The 12995-nt window shown below is 35.1% G+C and overlaps 1 long non-coding RNA gene across 1 annotated transcript in view, besides 1 other annotated feature; it reads right to left on the bottom strand.

Annotated features, from left to right (window-relative positions):
* Window positions 1-12995, bottom strand: part of LOC124900255 (uncharacterized) — a 30869-nt gene that overhangs the window by 16648 nt on the left and 1226 nt on the right. The window lies entirely within an intron of this gene.
* Window positions 8693-8782: an enhancer, noted in NCBI's record as "active region_28024". NCBI's record gives its function as "activates an Ori minimal core promoter by ATAC-STARR-seq in GM12878 lymphoblastoid cells {active_cell/tissue: GM12878}" and the evidence as "EXISTENCE:reporter gene assay evidence [ECO:0000049][PMID:35858748]".

Raw genomic sequence — 12995 nt, 5'->3', positions numbered from 1 at the left:
TGACATGCCCAAGCTATTTATGCAAAAAGAGGAGCATATGTCCTTTTATGCCACAAAGAAGTGATTTCTTGTCTGTATTATTTGGATGGGTCAAGTAAGACTTCCCAAAGATATGCCAGGCTTTTCATTAGATTCAGAGTAAAATGTAATCACAGGAAATAGTATATGTAGCAAAATATTCCACTTTACAGATGAATACCAAAAATATCATGATGCAAACATATAAAAATACCAATGGTATCAAGAAAATCTGGGTTCAAATTCCAACCCTGTCATTTAATACCTCTTAATTTATGTTACATTATTAGTAAGATAGTTTTCCCTCCCACAATACAGTAAGTATCACATTCTCAGGAAGTGGGAAAATAATATCCAACAAGATGGCAATGTGGTATAAATCTCTGGAATACTATTTATAGACCACCTTAGCTCTTTTTGGTACTGTAGATGTTGCAAGATGAGTAACTACCCTTAAGCATTTGGGGAAATCAGGATGTCTTTCATTTTTTTGTCCTTGGTTCAATTTATTCCTGCAAGCTACCTCTCCACAGCAACCCCTCTCTACAGCGACCCACAACCCCATTTTTCTAGCAAATTTCCTTGATAGATAAAGCTTCTTTCTTACATCTATTGAGAACATAGGGATGTAGTCAAGCCCATTCATGCAATGTTGGAAGCAAAGAACTTGTGAGAGCTAAATCGTGGCTCCTCCCTCCTGTGACACCATACTCTGTGTGGTGCACGGCATTACTGTCCCTAATTCTTCCTTTATATAGCTTTTAATACTGGTTTTTCATCTTCTCCCACAAAAGGAGCGTAGCATGTTTTTCTATCCATTGATGATGAGTTTGAGCATGCGACTTACTTTGCCAGTGGTATATAAATAGACATGTACCTGAGTAAGGCCACTAGTATTTCTACAATAACTGTAAGAACACATCCATGCTTCCTGGTACAAGGAAGCAAATGAGAAAGGCTGACCAGACCAAGTTTTTTCCATTTAGCTCATCAGAGCACAACCTGAATCAGTGAACTCCAGCCAACATGCAGATCCATAGAAAATGTTTTTTGAACTTCTGAGATTCCCTGGATGCTTGTTACTTAGCATTATCGTGGCAATAGATAACTGATACACTCCCCTATGACTGTGAGTATGATGAAGTTCCCTAAAAATATGTGGACCAGTCTCAGAATATATTTTCTCTCATCTGTCCAACCTTTAGAGTTTAACCTACTTTAATCATTTTCCAACCTCTGGCTCAGAAACCACATATGTATTTCTATTTGTCCCAAAATGCTTATGTTTCTAACTTGCCATTCATGTATGTATGTCATCTGAGTCTACCCAATTAATATATTCCGAGTATCCTAGGATGTGTCAATCGGAAATCACTAAAGGGACTACAGGCATAAAAAGGATAGTAAAACATAAATTACCAAACAGACTCAAGAAGAAATAGAAAAATATGTACAATTCTATGATTACTAACATTAATTCGTAACTAAAAACATTTTCATAAATTCAAATTTTGGATATGGAATGCTTCACTGGATAATTCTATGAAACATTTAGGAAAGAGATAATACATCCTTATGCATCATTTTCAGAAAGTAGAGATGCAGCAGATGGAGAAAGACATATCCCAAATCATCTAATGAGCCCATTATTATGCTCTTAACAAAATCAAAAAACAAACTACAAGATACCTCTGTGTAGTATGAAAAAAATTTTTTTAACTACAAGAAAAAAATCAACAAATATGTGTCATAACCATATATCTAAAAATTCTTACCCAAACGTTATCACATTGAGCAATGTGATAACAAATGCATAACAAATTTATAAAACAAAGCAATGTATAACAAATTTAACTTCTTCTGAATGGTCAATAGAGTGTCTTAGTCCGTTTTATGTTACTATAAAGAAATACCTGAGGCTGTGTAATTTATTTTTTAATGGTTTATTTGGCTCAGAGTTCCACTACCTGAAAGATTGAGTACCTAGTTAAGGCTTCAGGCTGCGTCCACCCATGGTGGAAGGCAAAGGGGACCCAGGGTGTGCAGACCTCATGCAGCAAAAGAGGAAGCAGGGGGAGCAGAGGAGGTGCCGGGTGATTTTTAACAACAAGCTATCTTGAGAACTAATAGAGTGACAACTCACTCACATACCACCATCAAGGGGAGAATGTAATCTATTTATGAAAAATCTGCCCCCATGAACAAAACATTTCCCATTAGGCTTCACCTTCAACACTAGGGATAAAATTTCAACGTGGGATTTGGAGGGGATGAACATTCAAACTATAGCAAGAGTTTTTCATAGGAATGTAAGGTTTATTTGACTTGAAAATCAATCAATGTGACTTGCTCTTTTAACAGAACAAACGAGCAAAATAAGATAGTATTTTCAAAAGATGCAGAAAAAGTATTGGCAAAATTTAACATCCATCCATTAGAAAAGCCCTCAGTAAACTAGAAATAAAATGAAACTTCCTAAACCTGATAAGGGATATTTATAAAAAACCTTCAGATAACATAATCTATGATGAAAGATATTAAACTTCTTCTCCCTAATAACCTTATAAGCTAGATATAAAAAGTCATCTTTTACTATTTTTATTTAATATTATACTGATAGTCCTGGAAAATGCAATGAAGCAAGAAAAAACACAAAATGCAAACTCAGAAGAGTCAAATAGTCATTCAATGGGTGTAAAGATTAAATTATACAAGACAATTTAGTTCTAGAGTTCTCCTGTATAATATTATGCATATGGTGAACAACAATGTATTATATATTACTAATTTTAAGATAGTAGATCTATGTTAAGTTTTCTTATCACAATATAGACAGATGGATAGATAGATAGATAGATAGATAGATAGACAGACAGATAGATAGCAAAAGAGTTTTGTTTTCTTGGTGGGAAAAATGTTGATGTACGTAGTAACTCCTGAGGCATATACACAAAATGTTGTGAGCACTAATAAGTAAATGTGGCAAGATTGCAGAATACAAAGTGAAGCTAAAAATATTGCATTCCTATGCACTAGCAATAATAAATGCAAAACTGAATTAAAAGGAAAATACAACCCTTTACAATAGAATTTCTATTCTTAAAAACTTGGGATAAATTTAACAAAATATACATAAGACATGAAACTCAAAACTATAAAACATTGCTGAAGGTACATAAAACCCAAGCACATGGAAAATAGATCATGCTTTGAACTAGAAGACTCAAAATTATTAAAATGTCAATTCTCCTCACTCTTTTATATAGCTTCAATCAAAACTAGTCGAGTTTTTCAAAGTGTTCTGTGAAATTGGACAAGCTGATTTTAAAATGTATGTAGAAATGCAAAGAACATAGACTAATATAAAATTTTGAAAAAGAAGAATAAAGTTAGAAGACTCTCTCTGGTTTCAAGACTTACTATATATAGCTAAATTATAATAATAATGCTGTGTTGGTGTTAAGATAGGCACATTGATCAAGAGAACAGAATAGAAATTTCAGAAATAGACACATTTATGGTCAATTGATTTTGACAAAATTGCTATGGTAATAGCAGAAATAAGAGGTTTTTAAAATAAATGTTTAGAAACTAAATATTTGCACAGAGAAAGAAAATTTGAAGCTTTTAACTTCACAACATACAGAATAACAAAAAAAATTAAGATAGTGTCTAGCTCTGTCACCCAGGCTGGAGTGCAGTGGATCACAGCTCACTGCACCCTCGACCTCCTGGGTTCAAGCAATCTTCCTACCTCAGCCTCACAAGCAGTGTGGGACCATAGACACATGTCATCACAGCTGGCTAATTTTTTGATTTTTTTTTTTTTTTTAGAGACAGGCTCTCAATGCGTTGTACAGGCTTATCTCAAAGTCCTAGGCTTAAGTGAGCCTCCCGCTTTGGCCTCCCAAAGTGCTGGAATTGCAGGCAAAAAGAAAACACCTTGAAATGGATTATAGACCTAAGATAAAAGATATAATTAGAAAACTTCCAGATGCAAATATAGGAGAAAATATTTGCAATATTGTGGAGAGAAATAATTCTGTAAATGAAAAAGTAAAAGCATAACACATATAAAAATTTGTGAATTGTATTTCCTTAAAATTTAAAAATTTAGGCCTTCTAAAGTCATGGTTAGAAGGCAATCTGCAGAATACAGAAAATCATATACAATCCATATATCTAACAAAAAATTCATAACCATCAATAAAGAACACTTTCAAATCAATTATTAGAAGACAAATAATCCAATTAAGAAGTAGACAGAAACATACACTGCAGCAAAACCTATACTAATGTTCAATAATCATATTTAAAAATAGCATCATTGGTGATCAGGGAAATGCAATTTGAAACTACCATGAAAAACCACAGTATATCTACCAGAATGGCTAAAATGTTAAGGCCAACAATACAAGTGCTGATGAAGATGCAGAAGAATTGCAATGTTCACACATTGCTTTTTGTTAACGTAAATAATACAGCCACCCTGAGAAACTATTAGGCTGGTGTAAAAGTAATTGCAGTTTTCACCATTAAAAGCAATGTTGAAAACTGCAATTACTTTTGCACCAAACTAATGGCAATTTATTATAAAGTTAAGTGTACACTGAGCGTATGACCCTGTGATTCCATTCCTCTGTATTATTGAATTCTTCTATAGAACCGTGCTGAAGATCGCTCACATCTCCTTGACTCCCTGGAACTTCAGGCAATATAATGGTAGTGTCAAAAAGATTATTTTCACTCGCTTTCTTTGCTCCTTTTTGCTGTATGTACTAAAAAGAAAACGCAGTTGCTAATGGACAAATTAACATTAGCAAATGGAAAAAAAAGTCAGTGAACAAGGCAAATTTTCTAGCAAGCTTGAGAAAATGAATTCAAACTGGCCTCATGCCACCGAAAGTGCTATATACGTCTTAGTCTCCTGATTTTATTATGGAACAAGATGTTAAAAATTTGTCCTGTTCTGAGATTTTCTTTTCTAGGAGAAACTTGTATTTTCTGCTGAGATAATTCCTTTCTCTTTCTTCTTGTTTGTCTTCACCTTCACCTTCACATTCTTTTTCACCTTCTCTTTCTTCATCCTCACCTTTGTCTTCTTCAAATTCTATTGTTTAATATTCTTTTTCATAATCTTATCTATATCTAGATATCATATGTGTGCCAAAAGTGTTTTGTATTTTCCCTTCTTTCTGTTTTCATTACTTATATTTTACTATATTTTTATTTTTTATTAGATTATCCCACAATCTAAATTTCAACATTTAATTGCTATCTACATTCTATTAATATTATCTTCTAAATATTTAATAATATGTTGCCTCCACTGAAGAACCTCTTAATGATAGCCTATATTTTGGAGGTAAGACCTACATCTATATGTCAGCACAAGCCCTCTAGTTCTACCTTCTCAGCTGCTTATAATTTGCAACTCAACATCTTTATTTTTTTTATTTTTTGAGATGGAGTCTTGCTCTGTCACCTAGGCTGGAGTGCAGTGGCACAATGTTGGCTGACCGCAACCTGCACTTCCTGGGTTCAAGTGATTCTCCTGCCTCAGCCTCTCCAGTAGCTGGGCTCACAGGTGTGCACAACCACACCCAGCTAAATTTTTAGGGTTTCACCTGTTGGCCAGGCTGGTATTGAATCCCTAACCTCAGGTGATCTGCTCTCCTCGAACTCCCAAAGTGCTGGGATTACAGGCCTGAGCCACCATGCCCGGCCTCAACATCTTTAAAATACAATGTTTTATTTACAACCCAACAACACTTTTATTTCTTCATTCTTTGATACTCAAATGAGAATTAGGCATCCAGGATTTTGTTAGGAGGTAGAAAATTGTTCTTCACTAGGTTTAAACAGGACTTCTTTTGTTGTTTGAGTCGTTAGCACAATCAGATTTTTTATTCAACTTTCCACCAAGCAGTTAGAAGCTGTGAGTAGTCGAGGTAGCTTTGCCACTAATTTGCTGAGTAAGATGTCTGCTTACCTACCACTTCCATCTCTCATCATCTTCCTAAGAGTATCATGATTTTTAAAATATCTGTGTTTACCCTCTGTGTCCCACATGTCTCAGGGAAGGCAGACCTTTTCCCCAATTTCAGATCATTCTAAATAGCACAAATCCATTGCTATGGCCTACAATGTGACCAGGGACACTGGCTTAATCTCATCAACAATGCCCACAAGAAGGTAATTACATTTGCATTTAGGAAATAAGATCTACACAAATACATCTATTCTTATCCTTTAGTGCTGAGTATGGACTCAGGAGTAAACGTAAGTATGATTAAGGATGGAACAATAAAAGTAAAGGTATATCGATCAGATAACCAGATATTTTGTGTGTATGTGTGTTGTTTTTTTTTTTTGACATAAGCAGGAAGAATTTTGCTTTAAGTGCTGCTGGTAGCCACATTGGGATTATAAAAGACGACATCCTTAGTAAATGAACATGCTAAGGAGGACACAGGTCTAAGGTAATCACAAAGAAGAGAGGCAGAGATCTGAATATATTGTTTCTTTAGCCTTTAATAACTTTGGACTCCCTAGTATAATAAACAATATGTATCTCTCTTTCATTAAAGCCATTCATAGTTAAACTTTCAGTTACTCGCAGCCAAAAGCATTCTTATTATATGCACAGTCATCCTTTAATATTTGAGAAACATTAGTTTCAGGACTCCCTACAGATACAAAAACCCACAATGCTCAGGTCCCAAATATAAAATCACTTAGCATTTGCAAATAACTATGCACATCCTCCCACATAGTTTAAATCATCTCTAGATCACTTGTAATACCTAGTAAAATGTTAATTCTATGTACATAATTGTTATACCATATGATTTTTAAAATTTTGTGTTACTTTTATTGTTGTATTGTTTTTTATTTTTTCATATTTTAAAAATTTAATTTTATTTCTTTTTTGTTTTTTCCATTTAATATTTTATTTTAATTTCTTTGGGTACATAGTATGTGTATATATTTATTGGGTGCATGAGATATTTTAATATGAGCACACACTGTGTAATAATCACACCAAGGTAAATATAGTATCCATCACCTCAGGCATTTATCATTTCTTTATGTTATAAACATTCCAATTGTACCCCCTCATTTATTCTAAAATGTACAACAAATTGTTGATGACTGTAGTAACCCTATTGTGCTATCAAATACTAGATATTTTTCATTCTATCTGATCATATTTTGATGCCTATTAATCATCTTCATTTCTCACCCCACCAACCCTACTATTCTTCCCAGTCGCTGGTAACCATCATCAATCTACTCTCCACCTCCGTGAGTACAATTGTTCCAATTTTTAGCTCCCACAACTGAGTAAGACCAAATGAAGTTTATCTTTCTGTGCCTGGCTTATCTCACTTAACATGTCCTCCATTTTCATCCATGTTGTTGCAAATGACAGGATCTCGTTCTTTTTTTAATGGCTGAGTAGTTCTCCATTGTGTATATGTACCACATTTTCTTTATCCATTTGTCTGTTGATGGACACTTAAGTTGCTTCCAAATTGTGGCTATTATGAATGGTACTGCAATAAACTGATAAACATGGAAGTGCAGATATCTTTTCAGTATACTGATTTCCTTTCTTTTGGGTATATGCCTATCAGTGGGATTACAGGATCATATGGTAGCTCTATTTTTAGCATTTTGAGGAACCTCCAAACTGTTCTCCATAGTGGCTGTACTAATTTACATTCTCGCTAGCAGTAAGTGAGGTTTTGCCTTTCTCCACATCCTCATCATCACTCATTATTGCCGATATTTTGGATAAAAGCCATTTTAACTGAGGTGAGATGGTATTTCATTGTAGATTTTAATTGCATTTCTCTGATGATCAATGATGTCGAGCACCTTTTCATATATCTGTTTGCTCCAGATAGTTTTGATCTGTGATTGGTTAAATCTGTGGATGCAGAACCTGAAGATAAAGAGAGCCCACTGCAGTCTCCTCCAATAACTCTTCATGGTGCTTAACATTTTTTTTTTTTTTTTTTGAGATGGTGTTTCACTCCTGTTGCCCAGGCTGGAGTGCAATGGCACGATCTCGGCTCACTGCAACCTCTGACTCCCGGGTTCAAGCGATTCTCCTGCCTCAGCCTCCTGAGTAGCTAGAATTACAGGCATGCGCCACCATGCCTGACTAACTTTGTATTTTTAGTAGAGACGGGGTTTCTCCATGTTGGTCAGGCTGGTCTTGAACTCCCGACCTCAGGTGATCTGCCTGCCTCGGCCTCTCAAAGTGCTGGGATTACAGGCGTGAGCCACCGCCCCCAGCCACAACATATTAATAGCATATTATCTCTCAGGATATGGCCCTTCTTCACCTCCACGACTATATCTTCAACCTCTCTTTCTGCTATTCTTCACCAAATATATTATACGTTGGGTAAGCCAAAATTATTTTTATTATAAAGTAGATTTCAAGCCATATTTTCTCTAAAGTTATATCTAACACAGACAGACACAATCCTTTTTCTTCAAGTCCAGATTTGCTTACATATCTTAACTTCACCTAAGCCCCTATGATAACCCTAACTTCTTTATATATTTGCTACCTGATATGGTTTGGCTGTGTCCACAGGAAAATCTCACCTTGAATTATGATAATCCCCATATATCAAGGGTGGGGACAGGTAGAGATAAATAAATCATGGGGCAGTTTACCCTATACTGTTCTTGTGGTAGTGAATAAGTCTCATGAGATTTGATGATTTTATAAATGGGAGTTCCCTTGCACAAGCTCTTTCTTGCCTGCTGCCGTGTAAGCGGTATCTTGCTTCCCCTTTCCACAGTGATTGTGAGGCCTCCCCAGTCATGTGGAACTGTGAGTCAATTAAATCTCTTTCGTTTACAAATTACCCAGTCCTGGGTATGTCTTCATTAGCAGTGTGAGAACAAACTAATACACTATCCTCACCAGACTGTGAAAATCTTGAAGGGAGACTTGTTTCTGTAAGAATCCTTGTGACCCTAGAATCTAATATTGTTTCTAACATAGTGACTATTCTCAAACTGTTACTTGGATGAACTAAAAGACCAACTTCTAGCTACCAGACAGCCTATAGATTAGAAAATTTAGGGATAGAAAATATGCATTTTATTTTGTATGAATTCTTGGATAAATATTCTTTTTAATGCAAATGATTCAAAAATGAATCATAACAAATTTTACATTTTAGGGACTTTCCCAGTTTATAATATGTTGTTTTATGAACTGTCCTATTTCACTCTTAACTAATCACTTAATAAATACTTATTGAGTCAATACTATGTGCCTGGAATTGGGCTAGGTTCTGAGGATATGATGTTGAACACACATGCAGTAATTTTTTAAAAGAAAAAGTAAATCAAACGTTCACATAAACTGGAAAAGTTCCGTAAAATAGAATTACACCTGCTAAAATTCCTATATAAAACGGCCTGTTAACCCAGTGAAGGAAGTTAGGAAAGGCTTTTCATGAACTGAGATTTTTAATGGTGAATAAGACTGATAACTAGGCCAACAGGTGATAATGTTCTTGAAATATTCTGGACAGAATGTTCTGGAAATGGTGTTCCTGAAATAAGGATTCATTATGTACAAATCTCCTAGGTCAGAAGGAAATTTGCCCAGCTTAAGAGCATTACTGTTCTCCACTAGAGCAGAAGGTGTTAGTGAAGGGACATGGTTTAGCAAGACTAACAGAAATACGTTCATTTTCTAAAAAGGGAAACAAGGCCCTAATAAAGTGTGAGTATCTAGAATCATGATGAGTGACTGAATCAAAACTCAAAATCGAGTTTGCTGGTTTTAGTTTGGCTGCATTTTTCACTCTAAGCTACTGTCTATAAGGCTTGGTTCGCCTCTCAAACAACTTAAAGTTTAGTGCAAATTAGACATACAAACGTAAACATGTAAAATAGACAGGCAAACATTTACTACAAGCTAGGATGAGAAAGATCCTGTAAGTTAGAAATAACTGAGTTGTTATTTCTTACACAGGAGGAGATGATAAAGTCCTCCTTTGTAAGAAATTTCTTACACAGGAGGAGACAAAGTCAAATTGAATATTAGTGGAAGACTTCAAGGAAAAGTATGCATGCCAGATATGTATCTAAAGCTTCATGATTCAAGGACAATTTACATAGGAATTTAAGTTCTGCAACCCAAATCAAAACATATAAGGAAATAACCACCTCAGTAGATCAAATGAAGACCACAGCAGTTGGAAGATTATGAAACAAGCTTCCTAAAAAAGAAATTTGCAAGGTGGCCTTGAAGGGTGTGACCATAAAGGAAAAGAAAGAAGAGGAATAAGAATTTCCAGGAGGACATTGCTTTGGAGAACAAATACCTGGCAGCAACTTCAAAATTATTTTCTTTTTTGCTTAATGGAAACTTTAAGAGCAATAGATGTTGGGAAGAAAAAGCAAAGAGAAAAAAATATTGTTAATTAGGGACTGATGAGAATCTTGCAAAATCAGCTGTGTCAAAACTTGGGCTAAGCAATGTATCATTGGAAAATGTATAGTGTAGCTAGACAATGCCATGAAAAGAAAAAAGAGCAAGAATGAATACGCTAAACACATGCACATTTGTGTGTACAAACAGGCACATGCAGATATACAACTTCTTTAGTTCTCTACAAGATAGTGGGAGCCATCAATTTATTTCTATTCTTAGTATAGTCCCTGGGTTACTGTCATTCCTTGAAGATCAAGTTCGGGAATAGCAACAGCCATTTCTCTTTATCGTACACATATTCTTTTATATATATATTATTTAATCAAAATTGGAAATCAATGAATTCTTCATTATTGTGTGGCAGAATTTGAGTCCTATATAAACAAATTTTGTAAATATTAAATGAGTTTTAAAGGCATATTTTCATTTGTAAAGCAGAATTTATTGACCTCAATATTACATTTTCTTTCTTTGCATTTGCCAGCTGAATATTTTTCTGAGCTTGAATCTTGGCATCTGTTTTAGAAGTCACTTGCTGGAATGCGACATGATTATTAGAGGTTTTGTTTTCCTTGTATAATCTCAATACATCATATACAATGACTTTTTGTTAACCTGGGGAAAGCTGGCAAGTCTGATAAAGGGTGGGAATTAGAAACAGAGGAGAAAGGAGGAAGTGAATGAGCGTGAGATAATGGAAGAGGAGACAGGATCTGTTATGTGTTGACCACATGAATCAAGCCAGTTGTTCTCAATTATTTACCTTTATTATGTGTAGCATAGCTCAGTAAGGTACTGATGATACAAATAACATCATTCTCATTTCACAGATGAGTAAAATGATTCCAAAGGAGTAAATTCATTATCATACAGAATGAGAGATAGTCAAAATTTGAAATCAGATATTCTACTCAGAAGTCACCTGATCAGCATGGTTTTAACAAAATTAAATAAGCTCTTGTTTTTGTATGAATATTATTTTTCTGACAGTACAGACATATAATTCATTAGAATAACAAAAGATGTAATGTGTAAAATATTTCCCTTTCTCTTGTTTCTTCTACGGTATCTCATGTTCTGATTTGGGAAATAAAATGGTTGTGCTAGATTATTTTTGAAGTCCCTTTAAGTACTAGAATTTTATGATAGATGACTCTGGGAATTTGTAGAAAAACAATGGAGGGTAATTTTGTGTATTTAGGAGATCTACAGAAATTAATCCTGCTTTTTTGGAACCCAACACATTCAAGAAAACTTAAACACTGAATATGTTCCAGGCTATCTGTTAGTTGCTGGAATGTTAACATAAAAGGACTTGTCACTACTTTTCAAGAGCTCATATATCTCAGGTTGGTGAAAACCATAATGGGGAGAGGACGAAGAAAGAGCAAGTAAAGAAGCAAATGCAATTTCATGTTGTCTTGGGAGCTCAAGGAAATGTCAATATCTACCTCCAACTGCCTTCAGGTTGCCATTAAAATTAAGTAGCATAATGATATCAGGAGATGCATAGCCCATTATATTATGACATTGGGTTCTCAAAATATGGTTGTTAAAGCATAAAAGTAATTGCATTTTTGAGTCAATACAATGAATAAAACAAGAAGTGATGAAATGGAGAATATGCAAGATATTCCATTTACTTCATGTTGGATGAGAGGAAAGTAAGGACATAAAAGGAGTGAAGGATAGAGTAAAGGTGATTGTGTAAATAATTTTGAGACATGGTGAGATCAAACACTTTTACAACTTGTTATTACCATAAGGGAGTTGGAAGGATAGAGGCTATGGTCAGAAAGTGGGATGCTTGATATTGAGATTATGAAAATTGTTAAGTTAAATAATGATAGGGCTTGGGTATGACCATGACATTCCCTTGTTGCAAATGAAGAGATGAAGTTCATGAAAAGTCAGGTCTACACTACCTATGTGGATACTGGAATCGCCAAAAATTAAGGTAAGAGCAATGTGGAAAAGAGGGGCAGAGAACCTTGTGCTGAAATCTTCAGAGAATGAGAGGAGTGAACTGGTTGATAGAGTGGTGGCCACATCAAAGAAGAAGAGTGAGCAGTACAATGTGATGACAAGAGCTACAAACCTGGGTGGCTTTTGAAAGAAGTGGTACTTGTAGGGGGAGCTAGCCTTGGAGTGTAACATGCAGAATAAGGAATTAACTTCCTTCAAGTCCTCATTCAGTGGTGCTAGGGGGCGTGGAAGAGAAAGCAGACATTGTTGAGAAAGCTGCAGGGAAAACAGTGCCCTCCAAAAAGAAGCAGATTTCCTTAGAGCAAAGAGCTTTGCTAACGATAGGTTAAGCTTTTCAGATAGTAAAGTGCAAACATTTGGAAAGATAGTGAAAGGAAGTGATGATAAAATAGGGATTTTCAGAGCAGTAGGGAGGCAGGTATCTGTGGAGAAATGATGACCATAAGAGCTCAGATTCTTGTGGATTTTGACGTAGTTATTACTAAGGATCATCACCCAGGCGTGAGTCCTGATG

The sequence above is a fragment of the Homo sapiens genome, chromosome 8 (assembly GCF_000001405.40).
Source record: "Homo sapiens chromosome 8, GRCh38.p14 Primary Assembly".
Taxonomy (NCBI): domain Eukaryota; kingdom Metazoa; phylum Chordata; class Mammalia; order Primates; family Hominidae; genus Homo; species Homo sapiens.
Note: the sequence above shows the minus strand (reverse complement) of the source record. Positions and strands in the feature narration are given on the sequence as shown.